Raw genomic sequence first — 22,189 nt, 5'->3', positions numbered from 1 at the left:
AAACTAAAACCAAATGAAACTGCAAATACCTAACTACTACTTGTTATCCCTGTTCAATGGTTATCTCCAATGGCCAAACAAAACAGCATTTTGATTTAAAAGATTTTATTTTCTTTATGCAGGTAGGCAGTTAGAAATTTCAAAGTCTAACAATGACATTCTTGAAGTGGGCACAGCCTTTTAAACTCAGGCTATGTATACAGTAACCTTGTGGAACTGGTTCAGCCAGATCTTCACTTTCATGAAAGCACAGGGTCTGTCCTTTTCTTTCCAGAGGGCTCCTCTCATATTCCATCGCCAGTTTCTAAGAAAGAAGGTGGATTACAATCAGTGCTCCATTCTGGTCTATACCGCTTCTTGTTTAGGGTATGAAAATACATGTGACTAAGACCTGGTCACTCCAAGTCCATCCCCTTTATCGGTACGGCCAAGTACCGATAAACGGAGCTGGGAAACTTCCCAATCTCTAATAAGACAACTTTAATTCTGTACTTTTATTGAATCCCATATTGTACCTGCGTTGGCAAAATGTTTAACCTTCATCTAAAAATGACTTCATGTCACAGTAAACACAGAAGACAAAAACCCAGAATGAGGACACTACCAGTAAAAATCTTTTAAAGGATGAGAAGCTGAGCAGTGGGGGGTATGGCTGTAGTTGCAGCTACTGAGGATATTGAGGGTGGGAGTTTCCCTTGAAGCCATGAGTTTCAAGCAATCATGCCTGTGAATAGCTACTACACTCCAGCCTGGGTCACGTAGCAAGGCTGCAACTCTACAAAATATGAAAACATTAGCCAGGGATGGCAGTGTGTGCTTTCAGTCCCATCTACTTGGGAGGCTGAGGCAGGAGGATCATGGATGCAGTAAGCCATGACTGCACCACTGCACTCCAGCCTGGGTGACAGAGCAAGACCCCATTCTCTTAAAAACAGAAATTGGGATACCTGTATGTTCATTCAAGAAATAACCCAAGTAATGTGTATTAAAGACATTTTAGGGGCAAATAAGGATACTTGAATAAAGTTATACCAGGCTTAGGATCTATTTAACATCTTAGACGTAAGGGTCATTGTTATATGCAAGATGTCTTATTACATGAATGTTGGACTTTAAGAACTATGCACATTCACACATCCAAAAACAAAATACTTCTAAGATGAGTCATCACTGACTGACATGAACTACAATTTTTGAGGTTTTGGTTTTTTAATATAAAAGTTGGAGAATTATGAGGAGCCACATCTATGATGGCAAAAACACTATACTCAAAAGGTGTAAGAAAACTCAGTTTGCTTATTCCCCTTCCATTGATTAAGGACACCAGGCAAACTGGAGGATGATGCAACACAGTTATTTGGTAAAAAAGCTTCCCTGTGTTAGCTCAATTTATTGAGGGATTGTAAAGGTCAGCAGAAGGAAAGCATACAATCATGGTCTCAGGCCACAGTATGCTTATCTGCTGTAAAGTCCAGCCATGTGACCAGACATGGAGGTAGTGTCCCCAAGGGACACAGAAAAGGAGTGGTGTTACTTTCTCTTTAAAGGGGGTGGAAGGTATAGACTTCAAACATCCATCTCTGCTATGTCTTTCTCTCCTGGGTTTGCTTATAGACAAAGCTGCCATGTTAACAGGCCCATGTAACAAGGAGCTGAGGATGGCTCATGGTAGTAGTATGATGAATCTTATAACTGAACCTCACAAGAATTAAGTAAAATCAATTGACTCCCAACTTAAATATGATTTGGAGCTCCTTATCTTACTAAGTGAATTGGCCAAGGAAAATTAGCTCCACCCAATGTTCAATCACTTTGTCATCCTTTCTTACAAGACTGTTAGGTATGATGGGTTTCTCTTCAAAGTTTAACTTCCTTGTTCTTTGTTCTTAAGGTCAACTTCCTCATACCTTCCCACTCCTAATTACCCATTCTGTAAACATTTCTCCCACCAATCCCAACCTGTAACCCGCATTTGTTCCTTATCTGGAAAAGTCTCCCTCGCTCGTGGCAACTGCTCTTCCCACTGCTGTAACCCACACCCCTCCTGTTTAAAATAGCCAATCAGGACTAGTTTAGATTGGACTCTAGCCAATGGGGATAGAACACAGAAGCAGGAACTAGCTGTGTTAGGGATAAAAACCACTTCACCTCCTTTGTTCGGGGTGCTCTCACTGTGACCAGGAGTGCAAGCAGCACCATTCTGCAGAAGTAAATCTGCCTTGCTGAGAAATCTTTTGGAGATCATTTTCTTTGCAACTCTGAGCTCTTATTGCCAACAATTTGGGAGCTCATCTGGGATTACCGTTCTCCTTCAGGAGAAGCCCACGATCACCTCTCTTGAGGAGAGGCATCCCACCACCTCTTTGCGGTGGCCTCACAAACAGGAGATTGGGTCCCACCCAAGGTGACACATAAACCCAGACTCTCAGCAACACAGGCGGAAAGGATCCTCACATACTGCGGTGACCAGGTAACTGCACAGACCAAGTTAAGAAAAGTCACAGGGGCGACAAAGTATTTCCTTGGTGGTCAGGGCATTTTAGAGGTTGAAAGTGTGTCAATGAGACGCACAACTGAGTGCGAAGCGAGCGATGATTCCGGATCTGTGATTCCATGGTCACCTCGTATAGCTTATGGTGGATTCCTGTCATGGGGCTTATACTGACACACCAATGCTAAGGAGGACCTGAAATATTCCCTCCTGGGAAGCAGCCAGAGAAGGATGAAGCAAAAGGAGAAGAGTGCAAGAAATCTCCAGTAGCCAGGGGCTGACCCTCTAGAGAAAGGAATGGCAAGAAATCTCCAGTAAGGGAGGTTGAGCCTATGAGGAAAGGCAATAAATCTAATTTTGGGCCTCACACCAAACCTTCATTATGCAAAATACCTCAAGAAAGACAGTAAATAGAAAGGATCAAATTAATGACAGTAACATCCCCTCTGACAGTCCCCTAGGTTCTCATGCTAAAAGGATAGTGAAAGGACTAAACATAACTACAGGAAGCAAGCCAGAAGCCAACTCCTCTGAAAGGAGTAAGGTCTCTACCCCCGAACAGCCTGCTAACATATGGGACCCACCAGACCACTTGCCTCTGCCAAACCCCATGCATCAAGCCGGTACACAGGATCCCCCCACTCATCAGTCCCTCCCCCATATAATCCTGAATCAATACCCCATGTTCCCCCTAGCCACACACTTAAGCCCTACAGCATGAAATAGAACAATGTAAAAAGGATACTCAGAACTTCCCTTTCCCCTTTCCACCTCCAAAGAATTGCCCCCAACTCTCTTCCCCTTGAAGAAGTGCCCCTTGGGAGAGGAGGCATCAGCTTCGTAAATGCCCCCTTAACCAGCTCAGAAGTACAAAATCTAAAAAAAAAGAAAAACTCAAGCCCTTGTTAGATGACCCTTATGGGGTAGCAGATCAAATCATTTTTTAGGACCCCAGTTGTATGGGCCGAGCTTATGTCCATTTTAGGCATTCCCTTCTTGGGAGAAGAACCATGATCCATAGGGCTGCTTTGGTAGTCTGGGAACATTAACACCCTACCGGTCAAAATGTTCCATCAGTATCCCGAACTGAGAGTATTTCCCAAGCATTCAACATACAAGGGATGGATGAAGGACCCATGAATTCCTAAATAGGCTTAAAGAACAGATGAGAAAATATGCAGGTTTAGAAATGGAAGACCCACTGGGGCAAGGGATGCTAAAGCTTCATTTTGTTACTAAGACTTGGCCAAACACCTCTAAAAACAACTACAAAAGATAGAGAATTGGAAAGATTGTCCCAGAGACTAACTTCTTAGAGAAGCATATAAGTAGGGACAAAGAGCAGCAGAAACAAAAGGCAAAAATCATGCTGTCTACCTTACAACAGAGAACTCTGCAGTAGGAGACACAAGGAAGTAAAACTTACAAACCCTCTAGGCCACCAGCGACCAAACTGTATACAAGGAGTAAGGGAATAAAACCTGGAAGTCACAGTGCAGGACAGGGAAGAGGGGAAAACAAATGTTTCAAATGTGGAAGAGTAGGTCACTTCAAAAGAGAATGCCCCAAATGGGAAAAAGAAAAAATATTCCACTTATGGCCTTCCAGGAAAATAGGGAGGTCAGGGGCTGTCTCTTTTACCTTGAGTCCCACCAAGAGCCCCTGATAAATTTAGAGGTGGGACCCAAATGTGAACTTAAAACCTTCTTACAGATTCAGCAGCAGCTCGCTCCCGTTCCCTCCCATCTGGTATCTATCACCTGTTCTTCAGAAGAACTTTCTATCTCAGGGATAAAAGATTTAAAGCAAAAATCTTAAAAGACAGAGGTCTATACAAAAATTGATCAGCCCATGTTAAATTCCTGTTAATCCCTGAGGCAGGAACGAACTTATTAGGAAGAGACTTACCACCGCAGAAGAAAAATACATTCATCCTCATGTATGGGCAGGAAAAAGAAATCAGGGAGGCTGGGCTTGCTGGCTCACACTTGAAATACCAGCACTTTGGGAGGCCAAGGTGGGTGGATCACGAGGTCAGGAGTTTGAGACCAGCCTGGCCAACATGGTGAAACCCCATCTCTACTAAAAATACAAAAATTAGCTGGGTGCAGTGGCAGGCGCCTGTAATCCCAGCTACTCAGGAGGCCGAGGCAGGAGAATTGTTTGAACCCAGGAGGCAAAGGTTGCAGTGGCTTAAGATCACACCATTGCACTCCAGCTTGGGTGACAGAGACTCCAACTCAAAAAAAAAAAAGAAAGAAAAAAAGAAACTTCAAGTCACTCCAATCCATACAAAGTTAAAGACCCCAGGGGAAATAGTAAGAAAAAGGTAATATCCCATTCCCCTAGAGGGCAGAATAGAATTAAAGCCTGTAGTTGAAGTTCTCATTCAGGACTGATTCCCTGAACCCTGTATGTCCCCCTATTAACACCCCAGTATTACCTGTAAAGAAATCAGACAGGTCTCATCAACTAGTACAAGATCTCCAGGCTATCAACCAAATAGTCCAGACTACCCACCCTGTTGTCCCCAATCCTTTTACCATCCTCAGCAGAATTCCATGACAATCAATGGTTCAGAGTAACAGATTTAAAAGATGCCTTCTGGGCATGTCCCTTGGCTGAAGACAAGAGAAGTATTTGCTTTTGAGTGGGAAAACCCTCATTCTGGATGGAAGCAGCAGTACCAATGGAGAGTCCTACCCCAAGGGTTTACAGATTCACCTAATTCAGTCAGGACTGCCTCTCAGAAAGATACTGGCCTATCTCTCTGTTATGTGGACTGCCTTATTTACACTCTTACTACTGACATTCCTACCTTTGAAACAAAGGATCAAATTATATACTTGGCTTTCCACTTTCTCTTACCTCAGAACTAAAGGTATTTTAGCACAGATGCCACCCTTACAGTTCCTGGTACATCAATACCAGCCTGGAGATCACATCCTTATCAAAAGCTGGAAGGAGCCAGCTTGGGAAGGACCATACCTAGCACTCCTAACTGAAACAGCAGCCCGAACAGCCGAAAAGGGGTGGACCCATCATACCCCAGTCAAAACAGCATCACCATCTTCAGAGTCATGGGCTATTGTTCCAGGGCCAATTTCTACCAACCTAAAGCTACGAAAACTTTAACCCTCTTATACTGCCTTGTCTTCTTTCCTCTCTCTACCGTCAGCTATTTTATCATTAATGTAACTAGATCAAGCTCACCTCAATCACATTTGATGCCTGTCTTGTCATATCCTGTGGGGATCTCCAAAACCAGAGGCAACTGGCCTTCTCAGAAAAATATCTCTGCCCTTCCAAGATAAATTCTAAATCCTCACACAATGCTTGCCTAATCGAAACTAAATCCATTACATTCTTTGCAGTTTGGGAATGGGAAGGGTTTGAGGAGAGGTTCTGCCCATCCCGGAATGACGTCCTATGGAATACCGATCCTCAAGGGTAGACTTCCCCAAAAAGCTGCATCTCTCTACAACCCTACCTTCGTTTCAAAGGGAAGGCCCCCTCTAATTGCCAATATCACCAATGTAACCCAGTGCAAATTTCTATTCTTACCTCTACCTCCACCAATCCTAATCCCACTTTAAGTAGCTTCTACAGCATGGGAGCCGCAACATTAGGGATAGACCCTACAGGATCTTTCGAAATGCGCTTCATTGTTCCCCCACCCCCTTCATCCCCTTCTAAACAAACACCCAATGACAAAACCAAAGTGACCATTGTAGAGGTTAAAGATCTAAAGCAAACTCTACCAATTGAAACGGTACCGAGATGCAAATGCATGGCTGGAATGGATTAAACATTCTGTCCGCTCGCTAAACAAAGCGATTGTTATGCTTACGCACGTGGTAAGCCAGAGCCCCAGATTGTTCCCTTTCCACTCGGATCGTCCTCCAGCCGATCAGGCATTAAGTTGTATGGCAGCTCTCTTCCAAGACCCCACAACCTGGGGCAATAAGCTATGCCAAACTCTCTCGCTGCTGTTTCCTGAAGTCCCCTGAAGTCCGACACCCTGCGGGTCAGCCCCCGAGGGCCATCAAGCATCCGTCTTCCAATGCCAATTTTACCTCGTGTCTCTCACAGGGGGAGAACTTGAATTTGCTTGGAGACCTAACGAGATGCAGTGAGCTTAAGCCCTTCCAGGAGCTTACCAATCAGTCGTCCCTTATTCATCCCCAAGCAAACGTATGGTGGTGTTGTGGTGGACCATTACTGAATACTCTGCCAAGTTACTTGGCGTGGCACTTGAGCTCTAATCCAATTGGCTATCTCCCTTTCACCCTGGTATTTCATCCAGAAAACATACATAAAAACAGAACATCATAAAACAATGGATGTCCCTCGTGACTCTCATGTTTATATAGATGCCATTGGAATCCCACGAGGAGTGCCAGATAGATTTAAGGCCCAAAATCAAATAGCTGCAAGTTTGAATCCATGTTGTTCTGGTGGTCAACTCTAAATAAAAATGTAGATTGGGCCGGGAGTGGTGGCACACGCCTGTAATCCCAGCATGTTAGGAGGCTGAGGCGGGTGGATCACAAGATCAGGAGTTTGAGACCAGCCTGACCAACATGGTGACAGCCCCCAGCTACTCAGGAGGCTGAAGGAGAGTAGGTTGAACCCAGGAGGTGGAAGTTGCAGTGAACCATTGCACCATTGCACTCCAGCCTGGGCGACAGAGTGAGACTCCATCTCAAAAAAAACACAAAAAATGTAACCCAGCAACGATTCATTAATTATACTAGGGATGCTATTAAGGGAACAGTTTAACAATTAGGGCCCACCAGTCAAACGGCCTGAGAAAATACAATAGCATTAGACATGATACTAGCGGAGAAAGGTGTAGTTTGTGTCATGATTGGAACCCAGTGTTGTACTTTCATCCCTAATAATACTGCTCCCGATGGAACCATAACAAAGGCCCAAGGACTTACTGCTTTATCCAATGAGCTAGCTAGAAATTCTGGAATAAATGACCCCTTCACGATTTTAATGGAAAAATAGTTCCGCAAATGGAAAGGACTTACGTCCTCAATCTCCTGCCATCAGAATAGGTTTGCTCATTCTTGTAGGATGCTGTATCATACCCTGTATCTGAGGATTAATACAAAAGCTTATTTTAACAGCTCTCACCCACCAAAATCTTCCTCAATCCTCCCTCGCATCATTCAGTTAAGCTTCTAATTTCAGAGGACCAAGAGGAACAAAATCAAGACACGCTAAAACAAGTCTGAAGAGAAATAATTATAAAAATCAAAAGGGGGAAATCGTTAGATACAATGGATTTCTCTTCAAAGTTTTAACTTCCTTGTTCTTTGTTCTTAAGGTCAACTTCCTCATACCTTCCTGCTCCGAGTTACCCGTTCTATAAACAACTTCTCCGGCCAATCTCAACCTGTAACCTGTTCCCTATTTGGAAAAGTCCCCCTCACTCCTAGCAACCAGCTCTGTAAACAAGTTTCCTGCCCTTCCCACAGCTGTAACCCACATGCCTCCTGTTTAAAATAGCCAATCAGGACTAGTTTAGATTGCGCTGTCGACTCCAGCCAATGGGGATAGGACACAGAAGCAGGGACTACTTGTTAGGAATAAAAACCCTTTCTCTCTTTTGTTAGGTGTGCTCTTGCCAGGAATGCCAGCAGCAGCACCCTACGGCAGAAGTAAATTTGCCTTGCTGAGAAATCTTTTGTTCAAGTGCTCGTTTTCTTTGGAACTCCAAGCTCTTATTTCCAACAAAGACCTAGTAATACCAACAGGCCAATGTCAGTCCTAATGACTTATTCTCCCAGTTTTATACCCAACTTGGAAATGGGTCCTGAGGTTAGGCCCAGTTGGACAAATTTTGCGGTGGGGTTTGGCAGATAGAAAGCAGAAACCTCACCTGTTACAAGGCAGACTGAATCAAGCCAAGATCAACACACACTGGTACACGTGGCTCCCAACCTATAGAAAGTTAACAGGTCAAAAGAAGCCATCTGAATGCTGGAAAAAATAGAGAAAGCCCAGTTCCCATGAACAAGCAATAGTCTCTGATAAAGATAAGCAGAAAACAAAGATAGGAGTTATTACTGGGGCCAATGCATCAGACAAAACTGGCCAATAGTGTAGAGATCAACAGGGTCGATCTGATGGGGAAAGAAGCTGTATCATCAGCTGCAAAGGCCACATTTGAGTCGTACAAGAAGTAGGGTGACAAACCCACACTGAAAAGCAGCTACTACCCCCTCCAGAGCCTGTGTCTACTCAGCCAGGGAAGACGTGTTGGCACCACTTACCAATTTTATATGTATATATATATTCTACTTCCAACACCCGCATTCATCCTGGTTCAATCAAAGCCTGGTTTTGGCCAACAATAAACCTGAAATGAAAAAACAGAAAAATGAGCTCCCATCAGCTAGATGCCCAGGGGAGCTGGGACAAAGGAGCTGCTCAAGCTGGCATATCAGACAGAAACTGGCTTAGAAAAGTTAGATCAACATAGTCGATCTGTCGGGGAAAAAAGCTAAGTCATCATATATGCCAGCAGGAAGTTCTTGAGTGAGGAGTAAGATTTGAAAGCCATGAGGAGTAAGATTTGGTTGGTATGCTTCATATTTGCAAATTTGCATTCGGTGTTTGAGCACTTCTGTGTTGTATCCTGTAGCTGGCAATAACTTGGTAGCCAAACCAAACACCCCTGTCTTCAGTGCTTACACTCTGAGTACAGGCCCATGATAGAAGCCAGTGTGGCTGGAAGAGTTGAGGAAGTAGTTGGCATTTACTGAGTTGGGAAGTGAACAAGTACCAAGAGATTGCATTTTAACACAAGTTACCACAAGTTACCTGACAAAAGAACAATCTGGAACAATAAGCTTCACATGTGTTCCCATGAAGCCCAGACTTTGTAAACGCCTCACTCCTGGACTCTAGCAAAAATATTAGTTATGTAGTCGGGCACTGGTTTGAGTGGCTAGTTCAACAGAAAAACACATTTGGCTTTCCAAAATATGTCAATAAATCATCCCTCCACTTGGAAATTTAAGCGCCCCAACACACAGGAAGAATGGAATCCAAAAATATGTTTAAGTGGCATTAAAATGTTAAACGCCTCTTCACTAACAAGGTTCTTTCACTTCAGGCATTTCTCTTAAACCTGTTTCTTCACCAGAAACCTAGTTCCAATATTTGAACTGTGAGAATAAAACATTCAGAACATGTTTTTCTTTTTTTTTTTTTTTTGAGACGGAGTCTGGCTCTGTTGCCCCGACTGTAGGGCAGTGGCGCAATCTCAACTCACTACAACCTCCGCCGCCCGGGTTCGGGCAATTCTCCTGCCTCAGCCTTGTGAGTTGCTGGGATTACAGGCGCGTACCACCACGCCCAGCTAATTTCTGTATTTTTAATAGAGTCAGGGTTTCACCATGTTGGCCAGGCTGGTCTCCAAATCTTGACCTCAGGTGACCCATCTGCCTTGGCCTCCCCAAGTGCTGGGGTTACAGGCGTCAGCCACAGCGCCCGGCCGTCAGAACACTTTTTTAAATACCTAATAAATGCTCGATAGAAAGTGCTTTGTTAAATCCCACGTTTTCCTAGAAAACTAAAGCTTCTCAAAGCACGTGTTTTCTACAGTAGACCCATAGGAGACAAAGACTTACTCGTCAGGAGATCGAAGGTTGTAGATGTCTGCACGTGGCTTCCTTGGAGGTCCAGTGGTGACTCCCTCTTCCAAAATCCATTCTGTACCCGCTGGCTGCTCTAACCTGTGAACCAACAAATAAAGGGCGTTAACCGCCATCTTCCCACGGTCAGAAACGAACAAGGCCGGGCCTTTTGAGGCCGATGTATCAGAACTAACTGGCAAAATATAAGACGTCAGCATTGTCGATCTGATGGGGAAAAAAGTGAAGTCATCATTTACACCAGCCAAGGGCTTCTCAGGCCCGTGCAGAAGGCAGTGGCTTTTCCAGCTCCAGAAACTCATTTCTCCCACGCCCTTAAGGCCTATTTGGGGTCAGAGACGGAGAAGCCACGAGAAGGAGATTAGGGCTGGCCGCAGAGACGACGGCACAAAGAAGGGAAGGGAGGACCAGAGGTCTCCAACGAAGAACATGGAGTTTCCACTCACCACACACAAAACGGGAACTTACGGGCAGGACAATAGCGTATGAAGCCTGACTGCAACTAGGAGAAGTACCACACTCCGGGCACCGCAGACGCGAAAGAACGAATGGCTTCCTGAACCTCCCTTATATAACCAAAGATGGCTTTCGCACCTGCGCACTGGACCCGAAACGCTCTCTTTCCCGCCCGCTCCGCGCGCGTCGCTCTGGGAAATGTAGTCTCGAGCAGCACAGCCCGAGGCGCTCTAGTAGTTGTCCAGGCCGCGTCTAGCCCCGCCCCCTTCCCTCTACACGCCGGGCCACCCGGGCTTGTCCGCTTCCTCGCCATGTCGCGCTTCACACGCACCAAACCGCTCGACGGGTTCCCCTTCCTCTGGGGCCGGCTGAGGCCCGCAAAGGCCTTGGGCGCAGTCATCTCCCGCCCCCCGCGGTCCGCTCCCCTCAGCCGCGCCCGCCTGAGCCCGCCGGCTCCGCCGCCGGGGGGAGCTGAGGTGACGCCCTCCTCGAGGGCGGAGGCGCCGGCCGTGCCTGGGCCAGGCCCTCGTGCTCTCCACCCTGGGCCCCCGCCTCCTCCTTCTCCTCCTCTGGGCCGCCCGCCCGGCTCCGCCCAGGGTCTGCGGGGAACGGAAACCGAAAGTGCGCGGCGCCGGGCGGGGCCACCGACCTGCCTGGGCCGAAGCCCCAGCACTCGCCGGCGGCAGTGAAAGGACGCGCCGGAGCCGGGTGAGTGGCCCCGCAACTGCCCCTGCCCCTGATTCTTCCTTGCCTCGCCGCGAACCCCGGCGCCCGCGCCGACCCGCCACTGCCTCTGCCCGTAAGACCTGTCACCCTCTCAAGCCCCCAACGCACCCGTCACCCGCTCAGAGCCCCTGGCCCCTCAGCGCCCCGTCGCCCCCTCAATCCCCAGACCCCCATCACCCACTCAGAGCCTTGTCACCTCTTTGGCCCCCAGCGGCATCAGCACCCACTCAGAGCGCCTCTCAGCGCCCCGTCTCCCCCTCAGACCCCAGACCTCCATCGCCTACTCAGCGCCCCGTCACCCACTCAGCCCCTGGCCCATCTCAGCGCCCCGTCGCCCCTTCGGCTCCCCTGTACTCTCTTTAGTGTCCCCATCCCCTCAGCTGGCCCGTCGCTCTCCCCAGCACCCCCGACACCGTCACCGCTTCTGCCCTCAGCACTTCGATCTCCTCTGCCCCTACCCCTGTCTGTGCCCTCCCTTCTGCCACTCGCACCCCCCTCATTCCTCCGGCCTCACCTCCTGTCACCTTATCAATCCCCCTCTTCTACAGAGCACCTCGGCACCCCCTTCAGCCTGCTCCCTGCCCCCACCCCGCCGCCTCCGTCCTCAGCAAGCACCCCCTGGTGCTCGCTACCACCCTCTCCCCAAGGCCCCCATAACCCCGCCACCTCACAGCCTTGGCGCTCCCTGACCCCATAACATTTCCATTAGGGACCGTGGGCTCCCTGGGTCAGGGATTCCCCAGGACCCTGGAGACTTCCCCCAAACCCAGCTCTGCCTCCGACCTCAGCCTCCTGCGTCCCACTCTGGTGATGACTAGCCCCTCTCATTCTGACTCCAGGCCAGCTTGATCATCACTGATTTTCTTCTTCGTGCCCTTTAGGCCTTGATTCCCCCCACCAAAAAAAAACACTTCAGTCTGTTTTCGATCCCAGCATTTCCTGTTCATGTCTACTCCTCCCTTCCTTCCCTTGCCTTTTTTTTAACATCTTTTTTTCTTTTCTTCCGTTTCTTTTAAATTTTCTGGAGTTTCTATTTTAGCATTTTTCAACAAGGGGAAGAAGGAATTTTCCCCTCGGAGAATTGAAAATAAACAAACAAACTCTAAATACTGAGCCTGCGCCAGGAGGGCTGGGTTTGATAAGATGAGGGAGGGGACTCACCAGAGATATTCCCAGGGGGAAGAAAAGAGACTCCTTTTTCAGATGAGGAAAAAAGCTGCCCCTCATATAATGCCAAATGTAGTCACAGTTTCCAATTATGAATATTTTAGAACTCAGTGAAGACAGTCTCAAAAATCCCTTTGCTGAGGACTCTGAGTCACCCACTCTTTCCTTAGCCCCAGCCCACACCATGTGTATGAGTTGGGTTGAGAAGCTCCCTTAAAGGGGCTTCCTCTTCCTCTTACAGGACCAGTGTCAAAAATCACCAAGGTAGAAGAATGAGGAGGAAGAAAGAATATCAGATTTCTAGCTGGTCCTGAGGAAACAGCACCTCGTAGTTGCCAAACCTCCTGGTTATTGAAACATGTAATTTCTTTCTCTTGATTCAGTAGAGCAGAGAGCTTAATCATTTGGCTCCATTCCAAAGAGTAGGCTAAGGGGATAACTGCTCACTAATTATTTATAAACTGTAGGGTACTGCAAGCTATTGGGTACTATATAAGTGGCAGATATGTAAATGCCAGATAAGGTGGTGAGCACATGGTTTTGGATTAACAAAAATGTACTCCTTTTTGTCCTGGCAACAATATTGTCTGCTTCTTAGGAAAGGAAAATGAAACCTAGCAACTGATTAAGTAACTTGGCTAAAGGCATAAACCAAACAGCAGTTTTGAATGGGAATTGATGACATTCCCTCTACCCCAAGAAAGTGCCAGGGTAAAAGAAAGGGGAATTCTATCTCTTGAAATCAGCTAAATTGTGAATTTAATATTTTATATCATAATTGGGCATTTGCAGAGTCGAGCACTTGTGCTCTAGATTAAAATCTGTATTTAACCCTTAGTTAACAAATCATTAAAATGTTAACAAAGGCAGAAGGACTGGCTTGATGGTGTTTGGGTTTTTGCTGCTAGATGCTATGTTTCGAGGACACTGATAACTCAACATGTGCAGTTTTCCAGATAACAGAAAGTAACGTGAAGGAATTCAGGTGACTCAGACATGGAGGAGAGAAGACCTCATCTGGATGCCAGGCCCAGGAATTCCCATACCAACCACAGAGGTAAGCAAGGTTTCCTACCTAATGAGAAGGAAATTCTAGTAATAAAAGAAGGAAATAGGGCTCTCTATAAATGAGCAGGCCTACCTAAGATTGTCTGCATCTCTCAAGTAAAGAATGACTATGGCTGGATGCAGTGGCTCAAGCCTATAATCCTAGCATTTTGGGAGCCTGAGGCGGGAGGATTGTTTACGCCCAGGGGATTGAGACCAGCCTGGGCAACATGGCAATAGGCTTTCTCTACAAAAAAATATATAAATTAGCCGGGCTTGGTGCTGCGTGCCTGTAGTCCCAGCTACTTAGGCTACTTGGGAGGCTGAAGTGGGAGGATCCCTTGAACCTCAGGAAGGGGTGGGTGTAGAAGGCAGAGGTTGCTCTGGACTGTGATCTGGCCTCTGCACTCCAGCCTGGGTGACAGAAAGACCTTGTCTCAAAAAAAAAAAGAATGAGTTATTTCTTAATTACTTCATGAATTACTCTGAAAAACAGCCAACCCTCCACTTTTCCTAAGAGAGCTGATGAATGGGTGCAGTTCACTTTAACAAAAACAGTGATAGAGTTTCAGAAAGGGAAATGACGTTTGGTGTAGAGCAGCATCCAATAGAAACAATGTAAGCCAAGAGCATAAGTTTTTATTTTTTATTTTATTTTTTTTTTTTGAGACAGAGTCTCGCTCTTTCGCCCAGGCTGGAGTGCAGTGGCGCGATCTCTGCTCACTGCAAGCTCCGCCTCCCGGGTTCACGCCATTCTCCTGCCTCAGCCTCCCAAGTAGCTGGGATTACAGGTGCCCACCACCACGCCCGGCTAATTTTTTTGTATTTTCAGTAGAGACGGGGTTTCACCGTGTTAGCCAGGATGGTCTTGATCTCCTGACCTCGTGATCCGCCTGCCTCGGCCTCCCAAAGTGCTGGGATTACAGGCGTGAGCCACCACGCCCGGCCTAGTTTTTATTTTCTAGAAACATCATTTTAAAACGTAAGAAGAAACAGATGAAATTTATTTATGTATTTATTTATTTATTTTGAGACGGAGTCTCGCTCTGTTGCCCAGGCTGGAGTGCAGTGGTGCGATCTCGGTTCACTGCAACCTCCACCTCCCAGGTTCAAGCGATTCTCCTGCCTCAGCCTCCCAAGTAGCTGGGATTACAGGTGCCTGCCACCATGCCCAGCTAATTTTCGTGTTTTTAGTAGAGACAGGGTTTCACTATGTTGGACCAGAATGGTCTCAAACTCCTAACCTCAGGTGATCCACCCACCTTGGCCTCCCAAAGTGCTAGCATTACAGGCGTGAGCCACTGTGCCTGGCCTTGAAATTTATTTTTTCAATTTGATGACAATTTAATAAAATTTAGGAATTTAATAATGTCTTATTTAACCCAGTATAACCAAAATGTTATTTGATTATAATAATTGACTATAGTTTATTATCATACTTTAATAATTCACATATATTTATTTCCCTCAAATACTCATTTTAAGATATTATCAACATAAAAATTTTTAATGTAATGCTTAACAGTCTTTGGTACTAGCTTTCAAAATCTCGTGTGTTTTACACGTCTTAATTCAAAGTAGTTACATTTCACAAACATAGCAGCCACATGTGGCTAATGGCTTTGTATTGGATAGTGCAGATCGTGAATCCTAGTCACCAAAGCTAAATTAGTTCCAAGACCATCACTCTACTAAAGGAATTATTCTGCTTGCTCAGCACTTTCTAAAACTAAACAACCAAATGGATTCCTGCTTTTCCATAAGTTTGAAATGTGTCTTCCAAAGAGTTTTAGCTGTGGAACAAATGAGGAAGAACTATGGGCTCTTGTGAGCTATGTGAATGGTTTGTTTTTTGTTTTGAGACAGGGTCTTGCTCTGTTGCCCAGGCTGGAGTGCCATGGCATGATCTTGGCTTACTGCAGCCCCGACCTCCCGGGCTCAAGCAATCATCCCACCTCAGCCTCCCAAGTAGCTGGGACCACAAGCGTGCACCATCACGTGTGGCTCATTTTTGTATTTTTAGTAGAGACAGGGTTTCTCCATGTTGCCCAGGCTGGTCTGAAACTCCTGAGCTCAAGCGATCTGCCTGCCTTAGCCTCCCAAAGTGCTGGGATTACAGGCATGAGCCACCACACCTGGCCATGAATGTTGAAAGAATAAGAAATGATACGATTTTCCATTCTTCCAAGACATAGAGTCTTCTAATCAGATAAAAATATTAAAAGTAGTACTTTCTTCTGATTTTGGAGGTAGTTTGAAAAGTAAATATGTAAGTAACAATTATAAAAATTTAGAGTTCAGTTGTAGATCATTTATATTTTACCAAATATTCCTTTATGTTGTCACATTAAAGTCTCGGCTGGGCACGGTGGCTGACACCTGTAATCCCAGCACTTTGGGAGGCCGAGGCAGGCGGATCACGAGGTCAGGAGATTGAGACCATCGAGGCTAACATGGTGAAACCCCATCTCTACTAAAAACACAAAAAAGTAGCCAGGTGTGTCAGCAGGTACCTGTAGTCCCAGCTACTCAGGAGGCTGAGTCAGGAGAATTGCTTGAACCCGGGAGGCGGAGGTTGCAGTGAGCCAAGATCATGCCACTGGACTCCAGCCTGGGCGACAGAGCCAGACTCCCTCTCAAAAAATAAAAAATAAAAAATAAAATTCTCTACAAAATGCAAAACAAGGAAGAGTGTGCATAAATCAATTTAGTATCTGATGTCAGGAAATGGTATAATCATCTCAAATATAACATGCATTTGAAGCTTTTACAACTTTTTTATCAAATCATTGTATACAGTCGTATTTTATTTGTTTTTAAAATCTTCATGTCATTCTGCTAAGTTAGGTCAGCCCCAGAATCAGTTTTAGCAAAAAGGAAAGTGAAAAAAACTGGACTTTGGGTATGTTAGGCTTCCTGTATAAGGGTTGGTAATTGGTAAGTACTATGAGGGTGAAGTTCATGCTACAGAAAGGAGGAAAACTTGAGTTTCATTTTTCAGTTTCTTTCATAGTCTGTTAGCTCAAAAACATCTTGGTAAGGAAACCCCACCTTTCTCTTTCCCATTCAAACTGCATTTGCTGATGCTGGACAGCATTCAGGTAGTACTTCCCTTTGTAATATTATTTCACTTGATGTCTCTGTTGGCTGTGATAATTGTTTAGTGGTAGAACCAGTGGCCCCCTTAGAATCAATAGGATATTCCCAATTATTGCTACTAGTAATAACTAACATTTATTGAGAGTTTTTAATGTGTCCAGTACTATACTAAGCACTTTATAAACATTTAATCTTTATAAAATCCCCACCAGGCACGGTGGCTTACGCCTGTAATCCCAGCACTTCCAGCACTTTGGGAGGCTGAGGCGGGTGGATCACAATGTCAGGAGTTCAAGACCAGCCTGGCCAAGATGGTGAAACCCCATCTCTACTAAAAATATAAAAATTAGCCAGGCGCGGTGGCAGGTGTGTGTAATCCCAGCTGCTCGGGAGCCGAGGCAGGAGAATCACTTGAACCTAGGAGGCAGAGGTTGCAGTGAGCTGAGATCGCACCACTGCACTCCAGCCTGGGAGACAGAGCAAGATTCCATCTCAAAAAAAAAAAAAAAGCAGAAACTGAGACTTAGAGAAATTATACAACTTGGCCAAGGTTATATAGTAAGGCAGTGGCCAGGCCAATGTTTGAACCAAGTCAGTTTGGCCTTTAAACTCATGTTCTGACTGTTATTTGGTACTGGCATGAGATTAGAAGCAATGAGACATACTGTATGTATTTATTCTCTAACACACATCAGGTACTCAATAACTGTTTATTCCTTTTCCCTTTTGCGTCCTTTGTAAAAATAATATTTTCCTAACCTCTACAGCAACAGTAATTATCTTTCATTTATCATATGACTTGGTAGAAACCGTTTTTCTTACCGTATAAAACCTGAGCTCTTTAGTTATTTTGGAAAATGAAAGCACGTTCATTGTCGTTCTGTTGGGTTTCCAACAGAACTTGGTTCTTGTGGTTACTCAATATTTCATTGTGTTTAGGCCCTGTGGATGGAGAGTTACCACCAAGAGCTAGAAATCAGGCCAATAACCCACCAGCCAATGCTCTCCGAGGAGGAGCCAGCCACCCTGGAAGGCATCCTAGGGCCAACAACCATCCTGCTGCTTACTGGCAGAGGGAAGAGAGATTTAGGGCCATGGGCAGGAACCCACATCAAGGAAGGAGGAACCAGGAGGGGCATGCCAGCGACGAAGCTAGAGACCAAAGACATGACCAGGAGAATGACACCAGGTGGAGAAATGGCAACCAGGACTGTAGGAACCGCAGACCACCATGGTCCAATGACAACTTCCAGCAGTGGCGGACTCCCCACCAGAAGCCTACAGAACAGCCACAGCAGGCGAAGAAACTGGGCTACAAGTTCTTAGAAAGTCTTCTGCAGAAAGACCCTTCTGAGGTGGTCATCACACTTGCCACAAGTTTAGGGCTGAAAGAGCTCCTTTCTCATTCTTCCATGAAATCTAACTTCCTTGAGCTCATCTGTCAGGTTCTTCGGAAGGCTTGTAGCTCCAAAATGGATCGCCAGAGTGTTCTCCATGTACTGGGCATATTGAAAAACTCCAAATTTCTCAAAGTCTGCCTGCCTGCTTATGTGGTAGGGATGATCACTGAACCCATCCCTGACATCCGAAACCAGTATCCAGAGCACATAAGCAACATCATCTCCCTCCTCCAGGACCTTGTAAGTGTCTTCCCTGCCAGCTCTGTGCAGGAAACTTCCATGCTGGTTTCCCTCCTGCCAACCTCTCTTAATGCTCTGAGAGCCTCTGGTGTTGACATAGAAGAGGAAACGGAGAAGAACCTGGAAAAGGTACAGACTATCATTGAACATCTGCAGGAAAAGAGGCGAGAGGGCACTTTGAGAGTGGATACCTACACTCTAGTGCAGCCTGAGGCAGAAGACCATGTTGAGAGCTACCGAACCATGCCCATTTACCCTACCTACAATGAAGTGCACTTGGATGAGAGGCCCTTCCTTCGCCCCAATATCATTTCTGGAAAATACGACAGCACTGCTATCTATCTGGATACCCACTTCCGGCTCCTGCGAGAAGATTTCGTCAGACCTTTACGGGAAGGTATTTTGGAACTTCTCCAAAGCTTTGAAGACCAGGGCCTGAGGAAGAGAAAGTTTGATGACATCCGAATCTACTTTGACACCAGGATTATCACCCCCATGTGTTCATCATCAGGCATAGTCTACAAGGTGCAGTTTGACACAAAACCACTGAAGTTTGTTCGCTGGCAGAATTCCAAACGATTGCTCTATGGGTCTTTGGTATGCATGTCCAAGGACAACTTCGAGACATTTCTTTTTGCCACCGTATCTAACAGGGAGCAGGAAGATCTCTGCCGAGGAATTGTCCAGCTCTGCTTCAATGAGCAAAGCCAACAGCTGCTAGCAGAGGTCCAGCCCTCTGACTCTTTCCTCATGGTAGAGACAACTGCATACTTTGAGGCCTACAGGCACGTCCTGGAAGGACTCCAGGAGGTCCAGGAGGAAGATGTTCCCTTCCAGAGGAATATCGTGGAGTGTAACTCTCATGTGAAGGAGCCAAGGTACTTGCTAATGGGGGGCAGATACGACTTTACCCCCTTAATAGAGAATCCTTCAGCCACTGGGGAATTTCTAAGAAATGTCGAGGGTTTGAGACATCCCAGAATTAATGTCTTAGATCCTGGCCAGTGGCCCTCAAAAGAAGCCCTGAAGCTGGATGACTCCCAGATGGAAGCCTTGCAGTTTGCTCTCACAAGGGAACTGGCTATTATTCAAGGACCTCCTGGAACAGGTAAGACAAAATTTTTTAGAGTACATAAGATCTGCTTTGTAAGATAAGCAAGGGACGGAGCCTTCACTCTAGGTTTCTAGAATGTCTTCTTATTTACTTATTTTATTTTCCAACTTTTATTTTAGGTTTAGGGGTACATGTGCAGGTTTGTTACATGTGTAAATTGCCATGTTGCAGAGGTTTGGTGTACAGATTATTTTGTCATCCAGGTAATGAGCATAGTACCTGATAGGTAGTTTTTTGTTGTCGTCATTGTTTTTGGAGACAGAGTCTTACTCTGTCACCCAGGCTGGAGTGCAGTGGCACGATTCCGGCTCACTGCGACCTCTGCCTCCTGGGTTCAAGCAATTCTCCTGCCTCAGCCTCCCAAGTAGCTGGGATTATAGGCATGCACCACCACGCCCAGCTAATTTTGTATTTTTAGTAGAGACAGGGTTTCACCATGTTAGACAGGCTGATCTCGAACTCCCGACCTCAGGTGATCCACCTGCCTTGGCCTCCCAAAGTGCTGGGATTACAGGTGTGAGCCGCTGCACTCAGCCCTTGATAGGTAGTTTTTAGATCCTCACCCTCCTCCCACTCTATCCTGAAGTAGGCCCTGGTGTCTGTTCCCTTCTTTGTGTCCATGTGTATTCAATGTTTAGCTCCCACTTATGAGTGAGAACATGTGGTATTTAATTTTCTGTTCCTGCATTAATTTGCTTTGGAGAATGGCCTCCAACTCCATCCACTTTGCTGCAAAGGACATGATTTTCTTCTTTTTCATAGCTGCATAGTATTCCGTGGTGTATATATGCCACATTTTCTTTATTCAGTCCACCATTGTTGGGCATCTAGGTTGAGTCCATATCTTTGCTATTGTGAATAGTGCTACAATGAACATGCATATGCATGTGTCTTTATGGGAGAATGATTTATATTCCTTCCCATTATATACCCAATAATGGGACTGCTAGGTCAAATGGCATTTCTGTTTTAAGCTGTTTGAGAAATCTCCAAACTACTTTCCACAGTGGCTGAACTAATGTACATTCCCACCAGCAGTGTATAAACTTTCCCTTTGCTCTGCAACCTCACTAGCATCTGTTATTTTTTGACTTTTTTTTGACTGTTTATTAATAGCCATTCTGACTAGTGTGAGATGGAATCTCATTGTGGTTTTGATTTGCATTTCTCTAATGATTAGTGATGTTGATGTTGAGCATTTTTTTCCTCTGCTTGTTGGCCATGTGTATGTCTTCTTTTGAGAAGTGTCTGTTCATGTCCTTTGCTCATTTTTTAATGGGGTTGTTTAATTGCAGATATTAGACCTTAGATGGATCCAGAGTTTGCAAATATTTTGTCTCATTTTGTAGGTTGTCTGTTTATTCTGTTGATAGTTTCTTTTGCTGTACAGAAGCTCTTTAGTTTAATTAGGTACCACTTGTCAATTTTTGGTTTTGTTGCAATAGAATGTTTAGTTAATAACATTCCTCCCGAAATGGGCATAAAATTTGTTTATAAAGTAGCTGCTCATAGGGATTTTCCAATAGGAACCCATTGTCATGCATAGTAATAGATACAAGATTGCTAGAGGTCAAATGTAGTGAGATGTGTGATTTCTGCTTTATATAATTGGTTCAATTTTATATTATTTTAAATTAAATAGTATCAAATATATAATAGCACTATGTGTGAAGCAACATTTTACTTACTTTACATACCTTAACTAATTGCATCCTCACAACCTTGTGAAATAGAAGCCATTACTAAAACCATTATACAGTTGGTCAGGCACGGTGGCTCACACCTGTAATCCCAGCACTTTGGGAGGCTGAGGCGGGTGGATCACAAGGTCAGGAGATCAAGACCATCCTGGCTAACACGACGAAACCCTGTCTCTACTAAAAAATATAAAAAAATTAGCCGGGCATGGTGGCAGGCGCCTGTAGTCCCAGCTACTCGGGAGGCTGAGGCAGGAGAATGGCGTGAACCCAGGAGGCGGAGCTTGCAGTGAGCTGAGATCGCTCCACTGCACTCTAGCCTGGGCAACAGAGCAAGACTCCACCTCAAAAAAAAAAACAAAACTGTTATACGGATGAAGAAAGCTAAGGCAAAGAAGGGTTAAATAACCTCTTAAGAGGTGGGAAGTATGTACTGAAGCTCACACAAATGTTAAGTGACAAGTTTAGGAATTGAATTCAGGCAGTCTAGCTGTAGAATCCTGGCTCCTATCTGCCACATTGTACTTGTCGTGGAACTATACCTTCCCATACCTTTCTCCCCAGGTGCCACTCTCTAATTCTACTCTGGGGTCATAACTATTATTAGAAGTGGGAATTTACATTAACAGTTAAAATAGCTACTGCTAAATTACTCTCCGAAAGGAAGTACCAAAAGAAAACAAAACCCCAAACAGGAAGAAGTCTTTAAAAAACACCAATGAAGTAATGGCAACTCATGATTTAAAAAAAAAAAAAAAAAACTTTATGTAACAAAGCTGGACGTCTTGACGAGTACCTGTAGTACCAAGTACTTGGGAGGCTGAGATGGGAGGATCCCTTGAAAACAGGTGTTCAGGCTGCAGTACACATAGCCCCTGCACTCCAGTCTGGACAACATAGGGCCTTAAAAAAGAAGGAAGAAATTGTTACTTATCCTGCTGTAGTGAAATCTTTGATTATCTTATATCACTCCCTCCCTCAACTTTGAGATTTTTGAGGACAGTGTCTACCTTACCAGCCTGACACAATGTAAGAATTTAGCAGGCCAGGCATGGTGGCTCACGCCTGTAATCCCAGCA

At 45.3% G+C, this 22,189-nt stretch overlaps 1 protein-coding gene, 1 long non-coding RNA gene and 3 other non-coding genes across 9 annotated transcripts in view, besides 12 other annotated features; 1 reads left to right on the top strand and 4 right to left on the bottom strand.

The window, feature by feature from the left end:
* Positions 1-88: 88 nt before the first annotated feature.
* Positions 89-11,171, bottom strand: ZFAS1 (ZNFX1 antisense RNA 1). 5 transcript variants are annotated; one of them, NR_003604.3, is made up of 5 exons: positions 10,633-11,171; positions 10,141-10,245; positions 8,779-8,864; positions 8,385-8,446; positions 89-304 (listed from the first exon to the last, which is right to left on the bottom strand). It is a non-coding gene; the product is annotated as a ZNFX1 antisense RNA 1 (long non-coding RNA). The 5 variants fall into 5 exon arrangements; NR_003605.2 differs by having other exon boundaries at positions 10,952-11,171; NR_036658.2 differs by lacking the exon at positions 8,385-8,446.
* Positions 1,182-2,113: an enhancer, noted in NCBI's record as "H3K27ac hESC enhancer chr20:47903773-47904704 (GRCh37/hg19 assembly coordinates)". NCBI's record gives its function as "activates a minimal SCP1, AML or CMV promoter by ChIP-STARR-seq in naive H9 embryonic stem cells {active_cell/tissue: H9 hESC(naive)}" and the evidence as "EXISTENCE:reporter gene assay evidence [ECO:0000049][PMID:30033119]".
* Positions 2,114-3,045: an enhancer, noted in NCBI's record as "H3K27ac hESC enhancer chr20:47902841-47903772 (GRCh37/hg19 assembly coordinates)". NCBI's record gives its function as "activates a minimal SCP1, AML or CMV promoter by ChIP-STARR-seq in naive H9 embryonic stem cells {active_cell/tissue: H9 hESC(naive)}" and the evidence as "EXISTENCE:reporter gene assay evidence [ECO:0000049][PMID:30033119]".
* Positions 4,910-5,842: an enhancer, noted in NCBI's record as "NANOG-H3K27ac hESC enhancer chr20:47900044-47900976 (GRCh37/hg19 assembly coordinates)". NCBI's record gives its function as "activates a minimal SCP1, AML or CMV promoter by ChIP-STARR-seq in primed H9 embryonic stem cells {active_cell/tissue: H9 hESC(primed)}" and the evidence as "EXISTENCE:reporter gene assay evidence [ECO:0000049][PMID:30033119]".
* On the bottom strand, positions 8,577-8,666 carry SNORD12 (small nucleolar RNA, C/D box 12). The gene has a single exon (NR_003030.1). It is a non-coding gene; the product is annotated as a small nucleolar RNA, C/D box 12 (small nucleolar RNA).
* Positions 8,934-9,036, bottom strand: SNORD12B (small nucleolar RNA, C/D box 12B). Its single transcript, NR_003695.1, has one exon. It is a non-coding gene; the product is annotated as a small nucleolar RNA, C/D box 12B (small nucleolar RNA).
* On the bottom strand, positions 10,326-10,404 carry SNORD12C (small nucleolar RNA, C/D box 12C). The gene has a single exon (NR_002433.1). It is a non-coding gene; the product is annotated as a small nucleolar RNA, C/D box 12C (small nucleolar RNA).
* Positions 10,588-10,787: an enhancer, noted in NCBI's record as "active region_18058". NCBI's record gives its function as "activates an Ori minimal core promoter by ATAC-STARR-seq in GM12878 lymphoblastoid cells {active_cell/tissue: GM12878}" and the evidence as "EXISTENCE:reporter gene assay evidence [ECO:0000049][PMID:35858748]".
* Positions 10,588-11,237: a biological region, named in NCBI's record as "Sharpr-MPRA regulatory region 13855".
* Positions 10,663-10,957: an enhancer, noted in NCBI's record as "tiled region #13855; HepG2 Activating DNase unmatched - State 1:Tss, and K562 Activating non-DNase unmatched - State 1:Tss". NCBI's record gives its function as "activates a minimal TATA promoter and a strong SV40 promoter by Sharpr-MPRA in HepG2 and K562 cells {active_cell/tissue: HepG2 | K562}" and the evidence as "EXISTENCE:reporter gene assay evidence [ECO:0000049][PMID:27701403]".
* Positions 10,715-11,215: an enhancer, noted in NCBI's record as "H3K27ac hESC enhancer chr20:47894671-47895171 (GRCh37/hg19 assembly coordinates)". NCBI's record gives its function as "activates a minimal SCP1, AML or CMV promoter by ChIP-STARR-seq in primed H9 embryonic stem cells {active_cell/tissue: H9 hESC(primed)}" and the evidence as "EXISTENCE:reporter gene assay evidence [ECO:0000049][PMID:30033119]".
* Positions 10,878-11,237: a silencer, noted in NCBI's record as "silent region_12996". NCBI's record gives its function as "represses an Ori minimal core promoter by ATAC-STARR-seq in GM12878 lymphoblastoid cells {active_cell/tissue: GM12878}" and the evidence as "EXISTENCE:reporter gene assay evidence [ECO:0000049][PMID:35858748]".
* Positions 11,216-11,716: an enhancer, noted in NCBI's record as "H3K27ac hESC enhancer chr20:47894170-47894670 (GRCh37/hg19 assembly coordinates)". NCBI's record gives its function as "activates a minimal SCP1, AML or CMV promoter by ChIP-STARR-seq in primed H9 embryonic stem cells {active_cell/tissue: H9 hESC(primed)}" and the evidence as "EXISTENCE:reporter gene assay evidence [ECO:0000049][PMID:30033119]".
* Positions 11,288-11,517: a silencer, noted in NCBI's record as "silent region_12995". NCBI's record gives its function as "represses an Ori minimal core promoter by ATAC-STARR-seq in GM12878 lymphoblastoid cells {active_cell/tissue: GM12878}" and the evidence as "EXISTENCE:reporter gene assay evidence [ECO:0000049][PMID:35858748]".
* ZNFX1 (zinc finger NFX1-type containing 1) overlaps positions 11,292-22,189 on the top strand; it is a 32,158-nt gene continuing 21,260 nt past the window's right edge. The window contains exons 1-3 of the mRNA NM_021035.3: positions 11,292-11,328; positions 13,462-13,570; positions 17,599-19,407. Of these exons, the coding sequence (NP_066363.1) occupies positions 13,510-13,570; positions 17,599-19,407 (1,870 nt within the window). The 5' untranslated portion in view covers positions 11,292-11,328; positions 13,462-13,509. The remainder of the gene's footprint in view (positions 11,329-13,461; positions 13,571-17,598; positions 19,408-22,189) is intronic.
* Positions 12,058-12,117: an enhancer, noted in NCBI's record as "active region_18057". NCBI's record gives its function as "activates an Ori minimal core promoter by ATAC-STARR-seq in GM12878 lymphoblastoid cells {active_cell/tissue: GM12878}" and the evidence as "EXISTENCE:reporter gene assay evidence [ECO:0000049][PMID:35858748]".
* Positions 16,417-16,496: an enhancer, noted in NCBI's record as "active region_18056". NCBI's record gives its function as "activates an Ori minimal core promoter by ATAC-STARR-seq in GM12878 lymphoblastoid cells {active_cell/tissue: GM12878}" and the evidence as "EXISTENCE:reporter gene assay evidence [ECO:0000049][PMID:35858748]".

Source organism: Homo sapiens, chromosome 20 (genome assembly GCF_000001405.40).
Source record: "Homo sapiens chromosome 20, GRCh38.p14 Primary Assembly".
Classification (NCBI taxonomy): Eukaryota; Metazoa; Chordata; class Mammalia; order Primates; family Hominidae; genus Homo; species Homo sapiens.
This window is presented reverse-complemented; position numbering and strand designations above follow the sequence as displayed.